General features: G+C 41.1%; 1 protein-coding gene and 1 long non-coding RNA gene across 31 annotated transcripts in view, besides 2 other annotated features; one reads left to right on the plus strand and one right to left on the minus strand.

The window, feature by feature from the left end:
- The window catches only part of PIAS2 (protein inhibitor of activated STAT 2), a 116,928-nt gene that overhangs the window by 53,569 nt on the left and 36,223 nt on the right, over window positions 1-27,136 (minus strand). For 27 of the 30 annotated variants that reach the window (NR_148700.2, NR_148701.2, NR_148703.2 and 24 more), the window contains one exon: window positions 7,378-7,462. The exons of the other annotated variants lie outside the window; for them this stretch is intronic. Coding sequence is in view for 23 of the 27 variants with exons in the window: in NM_004671.5 (NP_004662.2) it covers window positions 7,378-7,462 (85 nt within the window). In the remaining 4 variants the exon portion in view is untranslated. The remainder of the gene's footprint in view (window positions 1-7,377; window positions 7,463-27,136) is intronic. 30 annotated transcript variants of the gene reach the window in all.
- Window positions 2,902-2,971: an enhancer, noted in NCBI's record as "active region_13282". NCBI's record gives its function as "activates an Ori minimal core promoter by ATAC-STARR-seq in GM12878 lymphoblastoid cells {active_cell/tissue: GM12878}" and the evidence as "EXISTENCE:reporter gene assay evidence [ECO:0000049][PMID:35858748]".
- Window positions 11,099-12,298: an enhancer, noted in NCBI's record as "MED14-independent group 3 enhancer chr18:44447848-44449047 (GRCh37/hg19 assembly coordinates)". NCBI's record gives its function as "activates an origin of replication core promoter dependent on BRD2, BRD4, P300/CBP and CDK7 cofactors, and independent of MED14, by STARR-seq in HCT116 cells {active_cell/tissue: HCT116}" and the evidence as "EXISTENCE:reporter gene assay evidence [ECO:0000049][PMID:35650434]".
- On the plus strand, window positions 11,861-18,781 carry LOC124904294 (uncharacterized). The gene is made up of 2 exons (XR_007066358.1): window positions 11,861-12,204; window positions 17,984-18,781. It is a non-coding gene; the product is annotated as an uncharacterized LOC124904294 (long non-coding RNA).

Below are 27,136 nucleotides of genomic sequence, written 5' to 3' on the forward strand. Positions count from 1 at the left end.
CTTTCTTGAGAAGACTGGAGTACACTGAGCCCCCATGGTGCTCTAACTGGGCCAGTCTACTCACCGTTCCCAATCCTCGAGCTCCACTGGAAGGCAGTAAAGCACAGCAGTGACAACCACCTTAAGTTCTACAGTCCCAAGCTGCACAACATTGTGCAAATCACTTAACCATTCTGTGCCTCAGTTTCTACATCTGTTAAAGATGGAAAATTACTGCACCAACCTCATCAAGTTGCTGTGACAATTAAACATGTTAACAACACATGTCAAGTGCCTAAATATAAGATGTGCTCAACACATGGGAGCAGCTGGCTGCTGTGACTGTTTCCACTGCTCCCACTGTTCTCCTTACCAAGAGCAGCCTTCTCAAATGGCTATTCAAAACATCCCCATATCCTTGACAATACTGACCTCTTCTGAGCAACCCATATCACTCCACTCATTCATATCAAGACACATTTCATATTCTGGGTGCTGGAGCTTCAAAGACAAATACAACACAGTATTTGCTTCAAAGGATTTATATGCTAAGTAGGTAACAGAAATACAACACCTAAAATAAAATATGGTAAGTGGTACAGTACATTATAAAAAGTAAGTGCTACAGAAAAAGGGAAAATTTTTGTCTTGAAAGTTCAAGGTCATTATCACAATTAGTCCAATCTAACTAGAAAACAGGGTTTTTACAGCAGTGGTTCTGCCTACTTCTGCTTAGTGGCTCCACTAGGAACATGAGTAACTGTGGGTATCTAGTGCAGTAATTCCCAGAAAAAAAGAAAGGACAGAGATACAGATCAGAAACTTGTTAGATGGGAAACACGATGTGAAGAAAGAGAAAAGACAAGACATGAGCCTAGAAAGATGGATGGGGGCATAAAGGGTTTTGAACAGCTCACTAAGGAGTTACACTTTATTCTGGCAAGGGAAATTAACAAAAACTGGGAAATACAATGTGCTAAATATCTTCACAAACATTATGAGTAATGACCAAGGCATCTTCTGACATTCATTTCTGCCAATCACTGTTCTAGGAAGTTTTACATACTGGTCCATCAGATACAAAAGAAGCATTTACCATATGCTAGGTACTGTAATGGGTTGTGAGGTGATAAAAATGAGTAGAAGAATGCTGCTTTCATTAAGAAGGTTGCAAATGCAAGCAGTGAAATAAATGCAATGATGCCTTAACAGAAAATAAGTACATGGCACAGTGAGAGACAAATGACACATTAAAGCAAATCTGGAAAGGCATCACAGGGGACGTATGAATTGAACTGGCCCTTGAAACATGACTCAAGAAGTTTGCCAGGCAGAGTACAGAGAAAAAAGGCGGCAAAGGTGCAAAGATGTGAACACCATAGTTAACCTAGGAAACACAAATGGGAAAGCCTAGTCAGAGTACAGGTTGTTAGAAAAGAGTAACAGGAGATAAGATTAAAAAAAAAAAAAAGCAGAGCAAGATGTTGAAAACAACTGCCAGGCAATGGAGTGTGGACTTTATGAGGTACCATTAGAGTGTGTTTAAAGCATCAAAGAGAAAAAACTGAATGGGCTTTAGAAAGATCATATGTAGGAGCTTTCTAATGGAAAGATCTCATAATTAGGAGACCATTACAATTGAAGAGGCAAAAAACAAGGGCTTGAAGCTGGGCGCAGTGGCTCACGCCTGTAATCCCAACATTTAGGAAGGCTGAGGTAGGTGGAGTTCAGGACCAGGCTGGGCAACACAGCAAGACCCCATCTATGCAAAAAATAGAAAAATCAGCCAGGCATGGTGGCACATGCCTATAGTCCCAGCTAGTCAGAAGGCTAAGGTGGGAGGATCAATTGAGCCCGGACATTAAAGGCTGCAGTGAGCCTTGATTGCGGCACTGTACTTTCAGCCTGGGTGACAGAGCAAGACCCTGGCTCAAAAAATAATAGTAATTTCAAATGAGGGCCTGAAAGCTATTAAACATAAATACCACTGAGTGATATTCACACATAAAAAATGGTAAGACTTGATGAATGACTAGATGTGAGAAGGCAGGATAAGGGAAGGGGAGTTTCTAGGAGGGTATCCAGGTTTTGGAATGCTGCAACTGAAGAGATGGCCATGCTACTCACCAGGACAAGAAGAGGCAGAGCAAGTTATAGCATCAATCTCCCAAACCACCCAGTGAGGTGGTGATCATTATTCCAATTTTGCATGCTGAGAAAGTGAGGTTTAGTCACCTGTCTAGGGGCATACGGACCTAAGTGGTTGGTTCAGAATTCACTTTATACTTAGTATTACTCTAAAGACCATACTAGCTCCCTCAAAGGTAGAGTTGCCTTGCTGAGTTTTAAATATTCAGAATGACATAAAAGAATCAATGAAGGGCCAGACGCGGTAGCTCACGCCCATAATCCCAGCACTTTGGGAGGCCGAAGCGGGTGGATCATGAGGTCAGGAGATCGAGACCATCCTGGCTAACATGGTGAAACCCTGTATCTACTAAAAATACAAAAAATTAGCCAGGCGTGGTGGTGGGTGCCTGTAGTCCCAGCTACTCAGGAGGCTGCGGCAGGAGAATGGCGTGAACTCGGGAGTCAGAGCTTGCAGTGAGCCAAGATCACGCCACTGCACTCCAGCCTGGGTGACAGAGCGAGACTCCGTCTCAAAAAAAAAAAAAAAAAAAAAAAAAGAATCAATGAAGTGCAGCAAACAGACAGGATGTGGTAAATGAAGAGTGGCCTATCACAAAGAGGCCTCTGTCAAGGCAGATTCCAATGCCATTAAGGAAACGAGTAATGCAGAAGGAAATATACTAAGCAAAAATCTCCTTGAGGCCAGTCTGTTTTTCAACTTCGCATCTTTGGTGCCTGGAATATTGTCTGGTCCATAGTAGACAGTTAATAAATGTGTGCTAAATGAATGAATAAAAGAACAAAAGATAAGCAGGTTTGATGGAAGGCAAGCTCAATTTTAGATGTGTTGTGCTTGATGCCCTTGTAGGTCAAAGGAGAGGCACTGAAAAAGGTGTCTAGAGGGAGGTGTTGGTAATTTTGCAGCCACCCATATAAAAATAACAAAGCACATTAATGAATATTATCATAGAGTAGCAAGAAGAGAATCCCAGATTGATCCCTTAAAATGGGTACAAGAAGTCAGTGTGAGGAACTGAGAGCATGGTTAAAAATATACTAGTACCAAATGGAAGGAGCAGCGCTAAAGCCAAAAAGAGAACTGAATCCAATGTTCAATCTTCACAAGATGTAACAGAAAGAACAAAAAAACCTGGACAAGAATGTATTCAAGCGTCTAGTCTAGATCTTACTACCACTACAGGCAAAGGGGAGGGAGCTAGAAACACAGCTGTGGTTCTCAAGTTGGCTGCATACCAGAAACCTGGGAAACTTTAAAAACCACTCATGTTTGGGTTCAATCCTGAGATTCTAATTTAACTGATGTGGGATAAAACCTGAGTATGAGAATTTCCTAAATCTCCCCAGCTGATGCTAATATGCAGCAAAGTTTGAGAAACATGGGGAGAGAAGTAGTTAAATGACACAAGAAGCAATCATCCGAATCCAGAATGTACAATATGCTAGATCAAATAGATCACTTTTTTTGGAAAGTAGTGTTACAAAATAAAGCCTAATGAGAGAAACCAGGGCTCCCTGGAGAACTGATCAATTCCACAGTTGCAGCAGAGAAAATACAAGATAAGCCTTCAGCATTTTTGTTGCAAGAAATTAAAGAGCGCTCAAAGTGGGTTTCAGGGAGAGAGGTATATCAAAAGGGCATAGGAGCCAACCTGAAAGAACTTCTAATAGCCAAAGATAGAACAATTTGAGCATATCAATTACTGTAACACTGGAATATAACTCATAGAGCACCCATGAGTCCACACTGTTATAAACGAATAAACGGGCTGGGAATGCTGGCTCACATCTGTAAAGCCATACCTGTAAACCCAATAGTTTGGGGGACAAAGGAGGGAAGATCACTTGAGCACAGGTGTCTGAGACTAGCCGAGGCAATACTGTGAGACCCCATCTCTATAAAAAACATAAAAATTAGCCAGGTGTGGTGTTGTACACCTGTAGTCCTAGCTTCTTGTGGGGCTGAGATGGGAGGATCATTTGACCCCAGGTGGTCAAGGCTGCAACAAGCCATGATCACCACCACTGCACTCCAGCCTGGGCAACAGAGCAAGACCTTCTCTCAAAAATAAAATAAAATAAAAGGCCGGGTGTGGTGGCTCACACCTGTAATCCCAACACTTTGGGAGGCCGAGGCAGGCGGATCACCTGAGGTCAAGAGTTCAAGACCAGCCTGACCAACATGGTGAAACCCTTTCTCTACTAAAAATACAAAAATTAGCCAGGCATGGTGAAGAATCGCTTGAACCTGGGAGGCAGAGGTTACAGTGAGCCGAGATTGTGCCACTGCACTCCAACCTGGGCGACGGAGTGAGACTTTGTCTCAAAAAATAAACAAACAAAATGAATGAATGAAAGAAAGAAAAGAAAAGGAGACAGCTCCTCCTTGTAAAAATAAAATAATCTCAATGTAAAAAAGATTAAGGACAACAGAACACAAGAATGTTTTTGCTAAAGTAACCACTAAAGCCAAGATTCACGAGTGAACACTGAATTAATCTGCAAAAGTTTGAGGAAAAACAGAATACTAGGTGCCTAGTTGCAAAGTTATCTTTGCAAAATATTTATCAACAAAGGAACAAACAGTAACTTTACAGTGCAGATACCTGGCAGCTAGTATCAGCCAAGTGATCAAGGTTAACATCACCAAAAATAAGATATCAATATTATGTTGCCTGATATGGTACCCTGAGAAGGGCACATAACTTGAGGTATTCTTGCCAAAAATGCACAACCTCCATCTAATCATGGTAAAACATCAGCCGTACCCCCAAATCAGAAAGAGTCTACAAAACACCTGATCAGTACTCTTCAAAGTGTCACGCTGTGAAAGACAAAAAACAAACAAACAAAAACTAAGAAACTGTAACAGATTGAAGCAGAGTAGGATGACTCAACAATTAAATGTGATTTGGGATTGTATCTAGGAACAGAAGACGTTTATTGACCAAAAAACTGGTGAAATCTGAATAAAGTCTGTAGTTAATAGTACTGTACCAATGTTGATTTCATGGTTTTGATCATTGTACTATGGTGATATAAGATTTAATATTAAAGGAAACAGGGATAAAGAATATATGTATTATTTCTATAATTTTTATCTAAATAAAAATTACTACAAAATATAAAGTTTTTATGCCGGGCATGGTGGCTCACGCCTGTAATCCCAGCACTTTGGGAGGCCGAACAGGTGGATCACTTGAGGCCAGGAGTTCAAGACAACCCTGGCCAACGTGGTGAAACCCCGTCTCTACTAAAAACACAAAAATTAGCCAGGTATGGCGGCACCTGCCTGTAGTCACAGCTACTCAAGAGGCTGAGGCAGGAGAATCGCCTGAAACCGGGAGGTGGAGGTTGCAGTGAGCCAAGATCATGCTACTGCACTCACTCCAGCCTGGATGACAGAGCGAGACTCTGTCTCAAAAAAAAAATTATGTAATTAAGTACAGAATTTCCCAAACTTACTTAACTGCAACAATCTTATTTTTGAAAAACTCTTACTATCATCTCAAAGAGTGTTCTAATTAATATCTGAAAAGGAAGTAAACACCTCTAATTTACTCAATTCCTTGCTCTGCTTTTAACATTACAGCCCCCCAAAAATCATTAACCTCCCAGAAGCCTTAGTTTTATCATGCTGAATCTTTTAAGAATGCAACTTTAAAGAGTCATATAAATAATGTTTTGTTAACACTAAAGGTGTGTGTATACATATATACATACATATATATACACATATATACACATATATATACACACATATATATACACACACACATATATATACACATATATGTATATATTCTTTTGAGATAGAGTTTCACTCTTGTTGCCCAGGCTGGAGTGCAGTGGTGCGATCTCGGCTCACTGCAACCTCTGCCTCCTGGGTTAATGTGATTCTCCTGCCTCAGCTTTCCGAGTAGCAGGGATTACAGGCGCCCGCCACCATGCTCGGCTAATTTGTTGTATTTTTAGTAGAGATGGGTTTCGCCATGTTGGCCAGGCTGGTCTCGAACTCCTGAACTCAAGTAATCCACCCACCAGAGCCTCCCAAAGTGCTGGGATTACAAGCATGAGCCACCACGCCCAGCCTTTTTAAAAATATTTTTAATTGGAAAATTAAATGCTACAGATTTCCTTTTCTTTCTTCTTACATCTCTTAGTTCATCTGCTCTTTACAAATGGGTCTACCAATACTTTTCATAATTGTTTTCATATATCTGGTAATTTTTTGGTCAGGATGACTATACAGCTCACTTTACCCATAACTACCTCAGTTTATGTTCTTATCTCAGAATAATTATTAGTAATGTTTACTTTCACTCTCAAAAATGCCCCAGTTTGGAATGATAAAGCTTATGGTCACCCTGTCTTTGGGCTACTATAAATTCTTTTTATATTGCTTTACCCAATATATATATTTTTTCAGATGGGGTCTCGCTTTGTTGCCCAGTCTCGAGTGCTGCAGCATGATCACAACAGCTCACTGCAGCCTCGACCTCCCAGGCTCAAGTGATTCTCCCACCTCAGCCTCCTGAGTAGGTGACACTAATTTCTGTATTTCTTGTAGAGACAGGGTTTCACCATGTTGCCCAGGCTGGTCTGAACTCCTGGGCTCAAGTGATACTGCCACCTCCCAAAGTGCTAGGATTACAGGCATGAGCCACCATGCCCAACCTGGGAATAAATTTTTCATTTAAAAAATTATTGCCAAATATAACAAAAAGTAATCTAAAAGACATTGAGGTTTTATTCAAAGGTTAAAAATTTTATTCTAACACACAGTATTTACTAAATATTTGGCTGACTTTAGTCAAAGTATACTACCCTTTCATGAGAGAAACAGGTCAACTGTTATGGACTGAATTGTGTATCCCCAAAATTTATACGTTGAAGTCCTAACCCCCAATGTGACTGTATTTGGAGACAAGGCCTTTAAGGAGGAAATTAAGGTTAAATAAAGCCACAGGGTAGGTCCCCAATCCAATATGACAGTGTCTTTACCAGAAAAGAAAGACACCACGGATGCACTAGCACAGAGAAAAGGCCATCTGAGACGTGCAAGCCAAGGAGAAAGGCTTCAGGAGAAATCAAACCTGCCAAAACCTTGATCTTGGACAGAAGCCTCCAGCATTTTGAAAAACAAAAGTCTGTTGTTTACACTGTCCAGTCTGTGAAATTTTGTTATGGCAGCCCTACAGGTGAATAAACCAATATTCATGAGAAATATATTCCAAATATTCCTCTTACCTGGATATGCATATCTCTCTAACTTGTTGAGGTGTCAAAGCAAAAATAAAAAACTTCTCTTGAAATCGCTGAATACTGCTTTGAACTGGGAAGAAAAAAAAAAAGAAAGATAATATTTCAATAACAAATCCAACACTACAACCACCTGCAATAACCAGGCATTTTTTATAAAGTACCTGCCAAATTCTGAAACGTTATGGTTAAAATACTCCAAAATCAGGAAGTACTAAACTGCATTCATCTTGGAATCATGAGTAAAGTCACTACAAAGGGGTTTCTTTAACGTTAAGTACGTAACCATTCTTTATTCTAAAATACTAATGCAGGCTGGGTGCAGTGGCTCACACCTGTAATCCCAACACTTTGGGAAGCCAAGGTGGGTGGATCACCTGAGGTCGCAAGTTCGAGACCAGCCTGACCAACATGGAGAAACCCCATCTCTACTAAAAATATAAAATTAGCTGGGCATGGTGGTGCATGCCTGTAATGCCAGCTACATGGGAGGCGGAGGCAGGAGAATCACTTGAACCCAGAAGGTGGAGGTTGCAGTGAGCCAAGATTGCACCATTGCACTCCAGCCTGGGCAACAAGAGTGAACTCCATCTCAAAAAAAAAAAAAAATACTAATGCACAGTAAAAATATAACAAAACGCTTCAATATTACATTTCATTCTTAACTATAATATTATCTAATGAAAGGAAGTCAAAATGCTCCCCAGGAGAACTGTATTCAAGAATTAAATGTTTTTTGTTTATTTTTCTTTGTTGTATTTTGCTTTTGGTGCTCTGTATTTAATTACACAAAACACTCATATAAGAAAATTTTGAATGTCAAAACTTTTAAGTTTTGAAGATACCTAATTTGCATATGAAAGTCTTCCCAGTTAAAAAATATTGCTTAATGAAGTCACCCTTATGTATATTATTACCTGAAATGTATTTATGACTTCACAAAAACCTGCAATAGGTTAATAATGAATTATTCAATAATGTTCTAGTGTCCATTAAAACAAACAAAAAAGTTAATATATATAGAGGCCTCAAGTCTTTTGCTTCCTAACAATTGCAACATCACCCAAGTAAAGGCAAAATGAGGCCGGGCACAGTGGCTCACACGTGTAATCCCAGCACTCTGGGAGGCCGAGGCAGGTGGATTACTTGAGGTCAAGTGTTCAAGACCAGCCTGGCCAACATGGTGAAACCCCATCTCTACTAAAAACACAAAAATTAGCCAGTCATGGTGGCACGTGCCTGTAATCCCAGCTACTCCAGAGGCTGAGGCAGAAGAATCGCTTGAACCTGGGAGGTGGAGGTTGCAGTGCGCTGAGATCACACCAGTGCACTACAGCGATAGTCTTCAAAAAAAAAAAAAAAAAAGGCAAATGGTCCTTGTATATAACACTGTCCAGTTTTCCTGCTACATGAAGATAAAAAAGATGCCAGTTGGATATCCAATGTCAGAGCGGTTCAACCACAAGTCACATCAAGTCAGAAAAATATTAATTCCCTAGCTAAAATATTCTTTTCTATAAGCACAGTTTATTATAGCAATTATTCTCCTAGAAATGTCACAAAATGGTTCATATTTTTTCAGAACGCTTTAAAAAGGAGGGAAGAGGGAGATGCCGTTTAAGATGAAGGCCAAAAAGTAAAATAAAACTTTGGATTATAAACATAATTATGGAGCATCAAACACAGAAACATAAGTAAGCCTCTCCATTTCTCCAGTTCCTATTCACTCCTCAACCCTTTTTTTCTTGTTCGGACTCCACTTTTCACTATCTGTGGCTAAGGTCACCAATGACCTCTTAACTGCCAAATGTAATAACGTGTATTTTGAGATTACAAGTAAACATGCTGCATTTTAATCTTAATTAATTAATGACATGAGCATCCAGTCTCTTCAGCCAGAAACCTCAAAAGGTCTAAAGTAAGTACAAATGGAGAACTAAAAGAAGAGAGTGCAAAATGAGACATTAAAAAAGAAAACTACTTGCAGAAATAATGAATCAATAATTCTACCTTTGATGGAGGGGAAAAAAGGATTTACAAATCAAACTCCATGTAAAATAATACAAAGAAAACTACCTAGTCACATCATAGTCATACTATTGATTATGTTTGATTAATCTTGAAAGCAACGAGAGAAAAAAGAAACAAGGGAACAATGCAAATCAAGGCCAACTTCTCATCCGAAGCAATATAGGCCAGAAGGTATCTTTAAAGTGGTGAAAGAACAAACTCAACTGAAAATTCAATACCCTTCAAAAGCAGAGTGGAAGAATAACTTTTCAGATAAACAGAAGATATAAGAATTTGCTGACAGCAGACATGCATTACAAGAAATGTAAAACAAAATCACCAGGATTATTTTAAAACATAAATTCAAAACTGGATCTCTGGGAATGAAAATCATACAGTAAATAAGCATAAATGTAAAACAGTATGCTGTATTTTCTTCTTGTAATTTCCTTCAAAAGACTGTTGACAGCTAAAGTGATGGCATTGAAAGGCAGGATTTCTAACACAGGGAGGAAATATGAGAACAGCAAAAAGAATGGAGGGGGTAGATAAAGGAAATTATCTCCCCAACAGTTGTGTTTCCTGCTTTTTTCTGATAAACCTGAAATCTCCCTAAAGACCCTGATAAACCTAAATCTCCCTAAAGACCAATCCACTCTTAGCGTGCCACAAGCAGCAGGTATCTACACCTGTAAAGTTGGGCACAAGACCCTCTGTGAATTCACGAATATAAATGCCAGTATTTGAGGCTCTGTCTGAATGACTGGAGACAACCTACCCTGAAAAGTTTCCAAAACCCATGAACCTTAACATTTGAAAAGAGAATGGTTCCATAGTCATGTTGTACATGTATGTTCAACATGTACTTTTATATCAAATTGTACTTACATGTTGCACATACGCAATATATATGTACAATTTATAGAACTGGCAGCTTAATGTTAGTAGTCTGTGTCATAACAGACATATTCTCGGTGTGCCTTTTATTTTTCTGACATATCTTTGACTTTACCTATATTTGCTGTCAAATTTTCAATCCAGATTATAATCTCAAATAACCACCCAGTATCTATAGAAAAATGGATCTGTGTCATTGCTATATACTATAACCAGACTCCAGGAACTTACAGCAACAAAAAATTGTGCATATGCTAATAAAAATCTAATTTGTATTAACATTGACAGTTCTTAGATAAGTCAATTTTATGACAGAACAGCAGCCAAAAGCATACCAAACTTTCCATAAAGTGAATTTGTTAGCTAAATGGTTATTTTAACATAACCATGAGAAAGAATGCAGGATGCAAAGTATGCAGGTTTTGCAGTTTATTTTCTCCCCATTGTCTACAATTTGGGAATCAGAAAACCAATTCTGCAGAGATTCCATGAATGCCTTTAAGTTAAGAGCAAATGAAATGAAAAAAGATCATGGCTCAAGGGCATGAATTAAATATGGCTTTATTCAAACCTTTCCTTTTTCAACAACCCTTCATAATGTAGATTCTATTTTCCAAATATAACCACATTATCTCCCATCATGTCCTCCTTTTTATGTAAACTTGACATTCTTCCAACTGAGTAGTGGGGTCTTTATCAACCTCCCTTTGAATCTGAATGGCCTTTTGTAATAGCATCAACCAACAGTGTACAGTTTAAGTGATGCTATACAGCTCCAAGGCTGAACCATAAAAATACCACACACATCTTCCTTGCTCTGTGGGGACACTCATTCTTGGAACCTAGCTCTCATGCTATAAAGAAGCCCAAATTAGACCACATGAAGAAGCCACATATGGGTATTCCAGCCAACAGCCAAGCTAAGTCCAAGTCATCAGGTGGCATAGCTGCCAAACATATCAGGGAAGATGCCTCCAAGTGATCTGAGCTTCTGGCCAAGTGCACCTCAAGCATATGTCTTCTCAGCTAAGACCCCAGAGATCTTGGGATAAGAAACAAGCCACCCACACACTGCCCTTCCAAATTCCTGACCTAAGGAATCCATGAGCATGTCAGACACAGTAAGTTCCTCTTCAAAGGTTTAATTTCTGACTTCCCTGTTCTTTGCTCTTAAGCTCAACTTCCTTGTCCCTTCTCCTAAGCTATCTGCTCTGTAAACAACTACTTCTGCCAGTCCCAATCTGTAACTCACATCTCTTCCTTATTTGGAAAGAGTCCTCTTTACTCCTGGCTACCCATTCTGTAAGCTCCCCCTCTTGCTGAGACAGCTCTCCCTGCCGAAACTACCCTTCCCGCCTTTGCCGCACCCTGACATGCCCAAACATGCCTTGTACTGTAACAGACAGCCTCTCCCTTTCCGCCTAATTAGCCATATTCAATTTTAAATGGTAGCCAATCAGGTCAGTGTAGATTGTGCCGTCTGACTCCAGCCAATGGGGAAAGGACACAGAACCAGAGATTAACCGTGTTAGGGATAAAAACCCCTTCCCCTCCTTTGTTTGGTGTGCTCTCGCAGCGGCCAGAAGTGTGACCAGCACCCTTCTGCAGAAGTAAATTTGCTTTGCTGAGAAATCCTTCATTTGGCATTTGGGTGCTTGTTTTCCTTGTGACTCCAAGCTCTTGTTTCTAACAACTTGGGGGCTCATCCGCGATTGCCTTTCTCATCCAGGAAGAGGTCCCTGATCATCTCTCATGAGGAGATGCGTCCCCCTGCCTCACTGTGGTGGCCTCAGGGATGAGGGATCAAGACCTCCCCCAGCATGATGAATAAACCTGGACTCTCAGCAACGCAGGTGAAAAGGATCCTCACACACCATGGCAACCAGGTAACTCTGTACACAAACCAAGGTAAGAAAAGTCGTGGGGGTGACAAAGTATTTCCTTGGTGGTTGGGACAACTTGGAGCTTGAATGTGTGTGAATGAGATGTACAATTAAGCACAAAGCAAGCGTGGAGTCTGGATCTGCAGTTCTGTGGTCACCTCATATGGCTTATGGCAGATTCCTGTTGTGGGGCTTATACCGACACACCGATGCTAAGAGGGACTTAAATTCCCGTGAGGGAAGCAGCCAGAGAAGGACAAAGCAAAAGGAGAGTAAAAAAGACCTCCAGTAGAGGGGGGTTAAGCCTCTAGAGAAGGGAAGGCAAGAAATATCTAATACGAGGAGGGACTGAGCCTCAGCAAACCTCTAGAGAAGGGAAGGCAAGAAATCTCTAATATGAGGAGGGACTGAGCCTCAGCAAACCTCTAGAGAAGAGAAAGCAAGAAATCTCTAATACAAGGGATTGAGCCTCAGCAAGCCTCTAGAGAAGGGAAGGCAAGAAATCTCTAATATAAGGAGGGACTGAGCCTCAGCAAACCTCTAGAGAAGAGAAGGCAAGAAATCTCTAACATGTGGCATTGAGCCTCACATCAAACCTCCAGGATGGGAAACACCCCACGTAAGACAGGAAATGAAAGATATAAAGCTAGTGATGATAACAACATTCCCTCTGGTAGTCCCTTAGGTCTCATGTTAACATACTGGAGGGACAGTGAAAGGACTAAACATAATAAAAAACAACAAATGACAAAATATTGTTGTTTCATTTGGACCACAGAGCTCATCCTCACACCCTCAGTTTTCTGGCCAAAGTTTCAGTCAAATGAGGATTGAATTTGTCAACTTCTAATAGAGTATGTCAATGACAAGAGTCCCATCTCCCAGGAGGAAATAGATTATGCCCTGTATTGGCAGCAGGGACCCATCCTTCTTTACCCCCTAAAAGCTATAGGAAGTAAGCCAGAAATCAGTTCCTCTGAGGAAAGTAAGACCTCTACCCCAAAACAATCCACCAATGTATGAGACCCACCAGACCACCCACCTCCGCCAAATCCCCCACCCCAAGCAGGTGCACAGGACCCCCTTCACTCAATTCCTCCTCCATATAACCCTGAGTCAATGCCTGCCCCAATGCCCCGTGCCCTCCCTAACCACACGTCTGAGTCTATGCCTCCTCCAGGAAGGCTCTAGTGTGAGACAGAACAGTGTAAAAAGGATATTCAGAACTCCTTTTCCCCTCCACCTCTAAGGAATCAGCCCCAACTCTTTTCCCCTTGAGGGAAGTGCCCCTTGGAGGAGAAGGAATCGGCTTTGTAAATGCTCCCCCTTCACTAGCTCAGAAGTTCGAAATTTAAAAAAGGAACTCAAGACCGGGTGCAGTGGCTCAAGCCTGTAATCCCAGCACTCTGGGAGGCCGAGGCAGGTGGATCACAACGTCAGGAGATTGAGACCATCCTGGCTAACATGGTGAAACCCCGTCTCTACTAAAAATACAAAAAAATTAGCCAGACGTGGTGACGGGCGCCTGTAGTCCCAGCTACTTGGGAGGCTGAGGCAGAAGAATGGCGTGAACCCAGGAGGTGGAGCTTGCCGTGAGCCATGATCGTGCCACTGCACTCCAGCCTGGGCAACAGAGCAAGACTCCGTCTCAAAAAAAAAAAAAAAAAAAAAAAAAAAAAGGAACTCGAGTCATTATTAGATGACCCATGTGGGGTAGCAGATCAAATTGATCAATTCTTAGGGCCACAGCTGTATACTTGGGCAGAGTTAATGACCATCCTGGGCATCCTCTTTTCAGGGGAAGAAAGAAGCATGATCCAAAGGGTTGCTATGGTAGTCTGGGAACGTGAACATCCTCCTGGCCAAAACATTCCTGCAGCCGACCAAAAATTTCCAGCCCAAGACCCTCGATGGGTCAATAACAATGCAGCTCACCAAGAGAATATGAAAGATCTCAGGGAAATGGTAATAAAAGGAATTCAGGAATCAGTACCTCAGACCCAAGATATTTCCTGAGCATTCCATATACAACAAAGAAAGGATGAAGGACCTATGGAATTCCTAGAGAGGCTGAAAGAGCAAATGAGACAATATGCAGGCCTAGACTTAGAAGACCCTCTTGGGCAGGGAATACTCAAGTTACATTTTGTTATGAACAGTTGGCCAGATATTGCTAAGAAATTACAAAAGATAGAGAATTGGAAAGACTGGACTATTGAAGAGCTTTTAAGAGAAGCTCAAAAAGTATATGTGAGAAGAGATGAAGAAAAGCAGAAACAAAAGGGAAAAATTACGTTACCCACCTTCCAACAGGGGTTCCAAAAGACAAGGCCCACTGATACTACTCTCCATTACCTACAGACCCCACACCCCTAAACAAGGGCTACAGGGGGCCAAAGCTTACAAAGGATTTAAGTCCTCACATGCTAAACCATATAAAGGACATAGAGAGACAAGACCAGGTAACCTCAGAACAGGGAGGGAGGGAGGACAAAATACATGCTTCAAATGTGGAGGAGCAGTCATTTTAAGAGAGAATGTCCTGAATGGGAGAAGGAGAAAGAAGTCATTCCATTTAAGGGAGTCAGGGGCTCTATTCTTTTTATCTTGAATTCTACCAAGAGCCCTTGATAAACTTAGAGGTGGGACCCAAACATGAAGTTATAACCCTTTTAACAGATTCAAGAGCAGCTCGTTCCTGTTTGTTTCCCTTTACCTAATGTCCCTTGCTCCTCAGAAGAACTTTTTGTCTTGGGGGTGAAAGGAGAAAGGTTTAAAGCAAGAATCTTAGAAGACACAGAGGTCAAATATAAAAATTGATCAGCCCACTTTCAATTTCTGTTAATCCCTGAGGCAGGAACTAACCTATTAGGAAGACATTTAATGCTAAAACTAGGTATAGGCCTACATGTCAGTCCAAACGGATTTCTCACCTCATTAAATCTACTTACCACTGCAAATGAAAAATATATTCATCCTGATGTATGGGCGAGAGAAGGAAATCGAGGAAGACTTCAAGTTGCTCCAATACATATGAAGTTAAAACCCCCAGGGGAAATAGTAAGAAGAAAGCAATATCCCATTCCCCTAGAGGGCAGGATAGGCCTAAAACCTGTAGTCGAAGGTCTCATTCAAGATAAGCGCCTTGAACACTGTATGTCCCCTTATAATACTCCAATATAGCCTGTAAAGAAATTAGACGGGTCATGCTGACTAGTGCAAGGCCCCAGAGCTATTAACTAAACAGTCCAGACTACCCACCCTGTTGTTCCCAACCCTTACACTATCCTCAGCAAAATACCATATGACCATCAATGGTTTACAGTGATAGACTTAAAAGACACCTTCTAGGCATGCCCCTTGGCTGAGGACAGCAGGGACATATTTGTTTTTGAATGGGAAGATCCTCATTCTGAGCGAAAGCAACAATACCAATAGATAGTCTTGCCCCAAGAGTTTAGAGATTCACCTAACCTCTTTGGTCAAATCCTAGAACAGATTCTAGAACAAATTTGTACCCCCAAAACACATATGCTTGCTCCAATACGTGGATGACCTGCTTATATCTGGTGAAGCTATAGAACAGGTGGCTGTCTTCTCCACACACCTTCTTAACCATTTACAAGAGAAGGGGTTACGAGTTTCAAAAGGAAAGCTCCGATCTGTGGAACCCAAGGTTAAGTATTTAGGACACTTAATAAGTAAAGGCAAGCCAAGGATAAGGCCCGAACGGGTCAAAGGAATCGTGTCCTTACCTTTGCCTAAAACCAAGAAAGAACTCAGAAAACTTTTGGGATTAGTTGGGTATTGCTGACTATGGATTGATTAATATGCCCTAGAGATGAAACCCTTATACCTGAAGCTCACCCAGGAAAAGCCTGACTTTCTCCTATGGACTTCTGATGAAATCCACCAGGTTGAGGAGCTAAAACACCTACTCATCACTGCCCCTGTCTTAGCCCTTCCTTCCCTAGAAAAACCATTTCACCTTTTCATTAACGCAAACAAGGGGGTAGCTTTAGGGGTGCTTACTCAAGAACATGGGGGCCACTGACAACCTGTGGCCTTTGTATCAAAAGTTTTTGACCCAGTAACCTGTGGGTGGCCCAAATGTGTTCAATTTATCACGGCTACCGCCTTGTTAACTAACAAAAGCAGGAAGCTAACCTTTGGGGGAAACTTGGTGGTGACCACACCCCATCAGGTTAGAACAATCTTAAAAGGCAGGAAGATGGCTCACCGACTCAAGGATTTTAAAGTATGATGCTATCTTACTAGAAAGAGGTAACTTAACATTAACCACTGATAATTCACTTAACCCAGCAGGTTTCCTGACAGGGAACCCAAATCTAAAAGGCCCTGGGCGTAAATGTTTAGATTTAATTGATTATCACACAAAGGTCAAGGCTGATTTAAGAGAGACCCTTTTCAAAACAGGACATCTATTCATAGATGGCCCCTCTAGGGTAATTGGGGGAAAAAGGAGTAATGGGTATTCGGTGGTTGATGGAGAAGCTCTTGCAGAAGTAGAGTCAGGAAGATTGCCCAATAATTGGTTGGCCCAAACATGTTAATGCATGTTTAACATGCATTAAATCAGGCTTTAAAACATTTACAAAACCAAGAAGGGAATATTTATACTGATTCTAAATATGTCTTTGGGGTAGCCCATACCTTTGGAAAAATTTGGACTGAACAAGGTCTCATTAATAGCAAAGGCCAAGACCTTGTCCACAAAGAATTAATCACCCAGGTATTAGATAACCTTCAGTTGCTAGAAGAAATAGCTATTGTTCATGTCCCAGGACACCAGAAAAATCCTTCTTTTGAAAGCCGAGGGAATAACCTTCAGACCAAATAGCCAAACAAGCTGCCGTTTCCTCTGAAACGCCCGTTTTTCACCTCCCTCCTTGCCTTTCTCCCCCTACCGCCATTCCCATCTTCTCCCCCGCTGAAAAGGAGAAGTTAATAAAAATAGGAGCCAAGGAAAACTCAGAAGGGAAATGGGTGTTACCAGATCAAAGAGAAATGCTATCCAAATGTCTCATGAGGGAGGTTTTATCTCAGTTGCATCAAGAAACCCACTGGGGACCTCAAGCTCTGTGTGATGCAGTTCTTGGAGTCTCCAGATGTAGAGGAATTTATACTCTAGCAAAACAAGTTACAGATAATTGTTTAATATGCAAAAAAACTAATAAGCGAATCCTAAGAAAACCACCCATCGGAGGAAGAACCCTGGAATAGGGCCATTCCAAAGCATCCAAATAGATTACACTGAAATGCCCCCAATAGGTCGCCTAAAGTATCTACAAGTAATACTGGATCACCTTCCTCACTGGGTAGAAGTTATTCCCTTTTCAAGTGCAGCCACCAGTAATGTAGTTAAGGCATTAATCAAAAATATCATACCTAGGTTTGGATCACTAGAAAATATTGATTCAGATAATAGAACCCACTTCGCTGCACGTCATTAAAAAGCTAGCCCAGCTATTAGAAATAAGATGGGAATACCATACCCCCTGGCACTCACCTTCATCAGGAAGAGTAGAAAGAATGAACTAAACCCTAAAAAGCCACCACACCAAATTAACTTTAGAGACTCGACTACCATGGACCAAATGCCTTCCCATTGCCTTACTGAGGGTCTGAACTACCCCTCGGAAAGATATTGGCTTATCTCCTTATGAAATGCTATACGGGTTGCCTTATTTACACTCCACTGCTGACATTCCTACGTTTGAAACTAAAGATCAATTTCTCAGGAGTTACATACTTAGTCTGTCTTCCACTTTCTCTTCCCTCAGAACTAAAGGCCTTTTAGCAGAGACACCACCCTTGGAGTTCCCAGCATGTCAGCATCAGCCTAGGGATCACGTTCTCATCAAAAGCTGGAAAGAAGGAAAACGCGAACCAGCTTGGGAAGGACCCTATCTAGTGCTTCTAACTACAGAAACCACTATCTGCACGGCCAAAAGGGGATGGACAGACCACACGCGAGTGAAAGGAGTGGCTTCCACAGCCAGAGAAAAATGAGCCGTCACCCCAGGGCCCACCCCCACCAAATTACCTCTAAAAAGGGCTTAATATTATTTTCCCTTTTCTTTCCAACAGAAGGTCACCTTGTCATCTATGTGACTCAAACTAACCATCCCTTAACCCTTCAGTTTGACGCTTGTTCAGTCATCTCATATGGAGATGAACGAACTCAAAGGCAGCTATCAAATGTAGATAAGTATCTATGTCCGTACTGTAGTGAGTCAACAAAGTATAAGCATGGAGCCTTAAAAAGTCCCTGTGGTGACTGGACAGATGTTTGGTGGACCACCCAATATGGAGGATGGACAGCCAGGCCCCCTTCTTCAAACAAGTTGCAAGGACTGAAACAGAAACTCCAACTTACGTGGTCCCACCCCATCAAATTGTAAGTCACTGCAATGTAACCCCTTATCCCCTTGTTGCTAATTATAGATAATCCCCAAACAATGGCCCAAGAACCCTCCATATTCGAATGGTATGGGTTAGGAGCAGATGTTATAGGACGGGACCCCATAAGAATCTTCTCTCTGAGTCGGTTGAAAACAATAAAGAAATCCAGACCCAGAGTCCGGGGAATATATGGGATCCAACACTTTCCCCAAACATATCATGCCCAGCATTCTCCTCCCATCTCCAGAACCACCCAACTAAGGTAACGGCTGTGGAGGTGAAAGAATTAAGGCAGACTATAGCTCTAGAGACAGGATACAAAGATGCAAATGCCTGGCTGAAACGGATTAAATATTCCATCCGCACTCTAAACAAAAGAGATTGTTATGCTTGTGCGCACCGCAGGCCAGAGGCCCAGACTGTCCCCTTTCCACTCAGATGGTCCTCCAGCCGACCAGGCATGAACTGTATGGTAGCTCTCTTCCAACGCCCCACAGCCTAGGGTAATGAATTATGCCAAGCTCTCTCTTGGCTATTCCCTGAAGTTCGGCACCCTATGGGTCAGGCCCTGAGGGCCACGTCAATTTTACCTCATGTCTCTCACAACAAGGGGACAACTTAGCATTTCTTGGAGACCTAAAGGGATGCAGTGAGTTTAAGCCATTCCGAGAGCTGACCTATCAGTCTGCCCTGATCCATCCGCAAGTGGATGTATGGTGGTATTGTGGCGGACCATCACTGGACACTCTGCCAAGTAACTAGAGCAGCACTTGTGCTCTGATCCAATTGGCCATCCCTTTCACCCTAGAATTTCATCAACCAAAAAGGATAAAGACAAAGGATTGTATAACAAGAGATAGCCCTCATGGGTCCTTTGACCCTCACGTTTATATAGATGCCACTGGAGTCCCGAGAGGAGTGCCAGATGAATTTAAGGTGCAAAATCAGATAGTGCAGGGTTTGAGTCCATACTATTCTGGTGGTTAACTGTAAATAAAAATGTAGATTGGATAAATTACATCTATTACAACCAGCAACGATTTGTTAACTATATTAGAGATGCTAGTAAAGGAACAGCTAAACAATTAGGACCTACCAGCCAAATGGCTTCAGAAAATAGAATAGCATTAGACATGATACTAGCAGAGAAAGGTGGAGTTTGTGTCATCATTGGAACTCAATGTTGTACTTTTATACCTAATAATACTGCTCCCGATGGAACCATAACAACAAAAGCATTACAAGGTCTTACTGCTTTATCCAATGAACTAGCTAAAAATTCAGGAATAAATGATCCCTTTACTAATTTTTTTTTTTTTTTTTGAGATGGAGTCTTGCTCTGTCACCCAGGCTGGAGTGCAGTGGCGCTATCTCAACTCACTGCAAGCTCTGCCTCCCGGGTTCACACCATTCTCCCGCCTCAGCCTCCCGAGTAGCTGGGACTACAGGTGACTGCCACCAAGCCCAGCTAAATTTTTTTTTGTATTTTTAGTAGAGATGGGGTTTCACCGTGTTAGCCAGGATGGTCTCGATCTCCTGACCTCATGATCCACCTGCCTCAGCCTCCCAAAGTACTGGGATTACAGGCGTGAGCCACAGTGCCCGGCCTCCTTCACTAATTTAATGGAAAAATGGTTTGGCAAATGGAAAGGACTTATGTCCTCAATCCTTACTTCTCTTGCCTTTGTAACAGGTGTGCTTATTCTTGTAGGATGTTATATCATACCCTGTGCCAGAAGCCTAGCACAAAGGCTTATTGAAACAGCTCTTATTAAAACCTTTTTCAATCTCCCCACCACCTTATTCAGATAAGCTCCTACTTTTAGAAAACCAGGCAGAATAACAGAGTCAAGAAATGTTAAAAACGTTTGAAGAGGAAGAATTATAAAAATCAAAAGAAGGGAACTGTCAGATATGGCTAAGTTCCTCTTCAAAGGTTTAATTTGTAACTTCCTTGTTCTTTGTTCTCGAGATCAACTTCCTTGTCTCTTCTTCTAAGCTACCTGCTCTGTAAACAACTTCTCCTGCGAGTCCCAATCTGTAAGTCACATCTCTTCCTTATTTGGAAAGCGTCCTCTTCACTCCTGACCACCCATTCTGTAAACTGCCCCTCCCGCCGAAACAGCTCTTCCCATCAAAACTACCCTTCCTGCCTTTGCCGCGCCCTGACATGCCCAAACACGTCTTGTACCGTAACAAACAGCCTCCCCCTTCCTACCTAATTATTCATATTCAATTTTAAACAGTAGCCAGTTGGGTCAGTGTAGATTGTGCAGTCTGACTCCAGCCAATGGGGACACGACACAGAACCAGGGAATAACCGCGTTAGGGATAAAAACCCCTTCCCTACTTTGTTTGGTGTGCTCTCGCAGTGGCCAAAAGTGCAAGCAGCACCCTTTTGCAGAAGTAAATTTGCCTTGCTGAGAAATCCTTCGTTTGAGTACTCATTTTCCTTATGACTCCGAGCTCTTGTTTCTAACAAGCATAATAAAATACCTGCTTTACACCACTATGTTTTGGAAGACTATATTATACAGCAACAGTAAATGAAATAATGCCACAATTTCATGAATTTTGGCATAATCTTATCAATTCCAAGTATTCAGATTCATTTATAATTACTAAATGAGTAGGCTACTGGTATAATAGTTATGACAGCTCTAAATCTATGGATCCCTTTTTCCTCTTTATAAATTTTTAAACTTAACTAGACCAGAATATAACAGTCCTATATCCTAGCCTTAGCCCTACTGGTTACTATCCAAGTTATTTAGGAAATTTACAAGTCTCTCTACACCTCATTTCAAATGGAAGTAACACTTTTCTCACCTGCCTTTTTAAGATGGTTTTGTGGACTAAATGCAGGAACATGTGAAAGCATTCTGAAAACAGTAAGATACTATACATGTAATATATTTTCACTTGTGGAAGTCCTCATCAAAAGTCTATGCTTTTTAAGATACCAAAATTTCAGGAAAAAACAAGCAGTTCAACAGATATATTTTGTCACCTACTTTGTAACATTGACTTTATCTTGATAAGACATTTAGGTCAAAAATTAATATTTTAATGTGCCTAAATGTTAAATATACTTAATATAAAACCTGCCAAGTCATCCCCCACCATCACCCCCTGCAAGCACTATATTGACACCTTTTAATAAACTGGTTTATATTTCAGTAAAAATGCTTCCTAGGCTAGGTGCAGTGGGTCACTCCTGTAATCCCAGCACTTTGGGAGGCCAAGGTGGGCGGATCACCTGAGGTCAGGAGTTCGAGACCAGCCTGGCCAACATGGCGAAACCCCGTCTCTAATAAAAATACAAAATTAGCCAGATATGGTGGCCCATGCCTGTAAGCCCAGCTACTCAGGAGACTGCGGTAGCAGAATCACTAGAACCCGGGAGGCAGAGTTTGCAGTGAGCGGAGATCACACCACTGCACTCCAGCCTGGGCAACCAGAGCAAGACTCCGTCTATAAAAAACAAAAACAAAAACAAGAATGCTTCCTAGCGGTTACTGCCAAGGTTAACAGGGGCTCATACTATGGCTAACATAGGGAAAAGATAAACCAAGAGGTTTTTTAGGGAGTTTTGTGGATTAAAATGGCTCAGTCTAGCCAATCTAACAGTAAAATAATTCATAAAGTAACAATGAATGAATCAGTTTAATTACTCTGCATTTTCTAAGATCCTGAGCTATCCGGTTCTCATCACCTACCAGCTACTGTATCATCACCAACTAAAGAATGTCTTCTCCCACTGCAATGCTGCACTAAAATAAAAGGGAGTAGGGTAGGAGCAGGACTTCTAAAACTCAACAGCTAAAAACAACTCAATTCAAAAATGGACAAAGGACTTGGATAGACATTTCTCCAAGTACATACAAATGGCAAATATGCACATGAAAACATGCTCAACATCACTAATCATTAAAGAAATGCAAATCAAAACTATAATGCAATGCCACCTCACACCCATCAGGATGGTCACTATAAAAAAAAATAGTAATAATAGTAAGTGCAGATGAGGACAGGGAGAAACTGGAACCCCTGTGCACTGCTGGTGGGGAATGTAAAATGGTGCAGCTGCTGTGGAAAACAGTTTAGTGGTTCCTCAAATAATTAAAAATAGAATTACCATACGATCCCGCAATTTCACTTCTGGGTGTATACTCATAAGAATTAAAAAACAGAATCTTGAAGAGATGTTTGTATACTCACAGTCATAGCAGCATCATTCACAATAGCTAAAATGTGGAAGCAATCCAAGTGTCCATTGGAGAATAAATGAATAAAACACCATGTATACATACAATAGAATATTACTATGCCTTAAAAAGGAAAAAAAATCTGACATGTTATAACATGGACAAACCTTGAGGACATTACGTTTAGTGAAATAAGCCAATCACAAGAAGACAGATAATATGACACGTAAGTCAAATAATAAGACATATAAGTATGATTCTACTTATATGAGAAATCTAGAGTAGTCAGAATCTTAGAAAGCAAGATGGTGGTTGCCAGGAGCTGGGGGAAGAGGGAATAGTGAATTACTGTTAAATGCATATAGAGTTTCAGTTTTGCAAGATGAAAAGGGTTCTCTGGAGATAGATGGCAGCGATGGTTCCAACAATATTAATATACTTCATGCCACTGGATTTTAAAATGGTCAGACAGTATGTATTTTACCACAGTAAAAAAAAAAAAAAAAAAAATTGGGGATGGGGACAGTGGTTCATGCCTATAATCCCAGCACTTTGGAAGGCCGAGACGGGAGGATCCCTTGAGCCCAGGAGTTCCTGACCAGCCTAGGGAAGATGGCAAGACCTGGTCTCTACAAAAAAAATGTAAAAATTAGCTGGGCATGGTGGTGCACACCTGTGGTCCCAGCTACTTAGGAGGATCACTTAAGCACAGAAGGTTAGGCTGCAGTGAGCTGTGATCTCACAACTATACCCTGCCTGGGTGAGAGACAGAGAGACCCTGTCTCAAAAAAAACAAAACAAAACAAAACAACTGGGCAGGGCAAGGTACAGTGACACACACTTACAGTGACACATACCTATAGTCCCAGCTACTCAGGAGGCTGAGGCAGGAGGTTCACTTGAGGCCAAGAGTTCAAGGATGCAGTGCACAATGATCATGCCTGTGAATAACCACTGCACTCCAGCCTGGGCAACACAGTGAGACCCCCGTCTACTAAAAAAGTAAAAAATAATTTTTAAAAATTGGGACAAAAAATTTAAATTTCTTCAAAAATAAATAGGGGCTGACCCTCAAACATGTAGAAATAAAAATACACACACAAAAAGAACATTCTCATACAGTTGTAACAGAAGAAATACATAAAGTCAATACAGGCTCTCTTCTATATTAGCAAACTAGCTCATTTTTGATAACCTGTGTCTTGACATGTTGGAACTAACAGGCACACACAATGCTTTCAAGAAACACTTTACAACTGCATCTATATAGCAATATCCAATTGTTTACAAATACAGTTTTCACTGAACACTGCTTTAAATTATAATCCCATTATATACAGCAAAGTTTTTCTAATTTAATCAGATTTAAATAGAACATAGCAAAACTGAGTTATTTGTAGGTGATTTATCTATACAGAAATTATCATTTTATTAATAATCACCAGTGATGCTTCCTCTCCATTTTCACTACCACCACCCTACTGAAAGCCTATTATAACCTTCTTCAAATGAAACAGCAGCCCCAACTCCTGCCAGTCTCCCACCAGTGTGGAGTTAGTCCACCTTATTACTTTCAACCCCCTTCCTCTGCTCAAAATGCTCACCAACGTCCTATCTCTGAACGACCCCAGGCTCTTTCCTAGCAAACCTACATTTCTTCAAGCCCCCTCCAGGGCTTACTCAGTTCAAAGGGCTTACTCTACCTGTGGGTGTGTACCATTTTATTTTCTATTTTATTCTGATTAAATAAATCTGATTAAATTAGAAAAACTTTGGTGTATGTAATGGGATTATAATTTAAAGCAGTGATAAGTGAAAACTGTATTTGTAAAAAACTGAATATTGCTATATAGATGCAATTGTATTTTATTCTATTTATTTCTAAAATAAACCATTTTATTTTCTATTTCTGTGACCACTCACAGTTCTCCCCTTTCTTGGCATTTCTTCTCCTACAAACTCTGCCAATCCAAAGTAGGCGCATTCATCCTTCAAAGCTCCCTCAAGTCTCACTACAAGAAGCCTTGACTGAATTCTCCATTCATTAGGCCAATGCAGTAACTGACCTTTAGATGTACAACTGACAGTGCTTCATCATGCAAACACCTATCTACTTGCTACTTATTTCGAATGTGAACATTACCTCCCTAACTGTGTAACAAACACCTTAAAGCCCATCTCATACTTCTGGCTTCTCCACAATTAAGAATACACAGACACCGGGCACGGTGGCTCACGCCTGTAATCCCAGCACTTTGGGAGGCCAAGGCAGGCAGATCACGAGGTCAAGAGTTCCAGACCAGCCTGGCCGACATGGTGAAACCCTGTCTCTACTAAGAATACAAAAATTAGCTGGGCATGGTGACACATGCCTGTAATCCCAGCTACTCGGGAGGCTGAGGCAGGAGAATCACTTGAACCCAGGAGGCAGAGGTTGCAGTGAGCCAAGATCCCGCCACTGCATTCCAGCCTGGGTGACAGAACAAGACTTTGTCTCGGTGGCGGTGGGGGAAGACTACATAGCCATATCCAAATTAAGTCCTTATTATATACTTATTAACTGAGTTAATAAAAATAATATATACAGTAAATTAGAATATTATATTTTAATGGCTTTAACATTAATGTGCATATCATTTGAATACTGTTTAATCATATCCAAAAGCTTAATGAGTGTGTCCTAATGTTCAAGAATTTAAGGATAAAAAGAGATTGATTCTTATTAATTTTTCACCTTTCAGATTAGCAAAAATTAAAAGACCAACAATACAATGCTGATGAGTGTATAGGGAAAACAGTACCTCCACACACACAAATGGACTACAAATTGGTGCAATGCTGTGGAAGCTACTGTCGAATTTCCCTCTAAAGGTGAATATCAAAATATAAAATATTCATATTTTGACCCAACAACTTCACATCCGGGCATTTATCCTTCATATATATGTGTACAAGTATTCAGAAATATATGCAAAAGTTGTTCATAGCTGCAATGTCTGTAAAACTGCAAGAATAGTGCCTGATACATGCTATACACAAAAATACTTCTGAATGAATAAACAGTGAAAGCCCATTGAAGATGTACATCAAAAAAGTACTGGGTAAGTTACGGTACATCTATAAGATAATAGAACTACTGCAATAAATCTGCTGTAATAAATTTCCAGGAAATACTGTTAAGAAAGATTGTCACGGTGCAAAACTCTAGGGAACACTATTCACAGATATTACAAACAGAATAGTGCCCCCACTCCCTCAACCAGACACTCTGCAGTTGGAAAAGGTTTTAAGAGACCAGCCTGGACAACATGGTGAAACCCTGTCTCTACTAAAAATACAAAAATTAGCCAGGCCTGGTGGCGGGTGCCTAGAATCCCAGCTATTGGGGAGGCTGCGGCAGGAAAAAAAAAATCGCTTGAACCCGGGAAGCAGAGGTTGCAGTGAGCCAAGATCACACCACTGCACTGCAGCCTGGGCGACAGAGGGAGACTCCGTCTCAAAAGAAAAAAAAAAAAACAAAAAGAGAGAAGAGAAAAAGCATTAACATAACACAAGCGGAGAAAAAATAAACTTGATATGACTCTAGCTGAGCAATGAATGAGATTACGAAGGACTGTCCCTTTCTTATGATTTTTGATTCCAAATATTAACTACTTTTGTAATCTGAAAAGAACAATGAAGAAATTAAGGAATCAAAGGTTCATAAAACTTTGAAGGTATTTCACATAACACCAGCCAGCCAGACATATCAACATTTATGATGCATATAAACAGCGAACAAAGAGTCACAGAAGAATACATATAAGAATATAATTATATAGTGCCAAGCGCAGTGGCTCATGCCTGTAATCCCAGCACTTTGGGGGGCCGGGGCAGAAGGATAGCTTGACCTCAGGAGTTCAAGACCAGCCTGGACAACATAGAGAGACCTCCTCTCCACAAATAAAAAAAATCAAAGCCTGGCAGAATGGCTCATGCATTTTAATCCCAGCACTTTGGGAAGCTGAGGCAGGCAGCTCTCTTGACCCCAGGAGTTCAAGACCAGCCTGGGCAACATAGCAAAATCTCATATCTACAAAAAAATACAAAAAAATTAGCCAAGCATGGTGGTGCATGCCTGTAGTCACAGCTACTCAGGAAGCCTAGGTAGGAGGATTGCTTCAGCCCAGGAGGTTGAGGCTGAAGTGAGCCAAGATTGTACACTCTAACCTGGGCAATTAAGTGACCCTCTCTCAATAAATAATAAATAAATTAAAATCAGTCAGGTGTGGTGGTATACACCTGTGGGTCCCAGCAACTTGGAAGGCCTGAGGTGGGAGGATC

The sequence above is a fragment of the Homo sapiens genome, chromosome 18 (assembly GCF_000001405.40).
Source record: "Homo sapiens chromosome 18, GRCh38.p14 Primary Assembly".
Classification (NCBI taxonomy): Eukaryota; Metazoa; Chordata; class Mammalia; order Primates; family Hominidae; genus Homo; species Homo sapiens.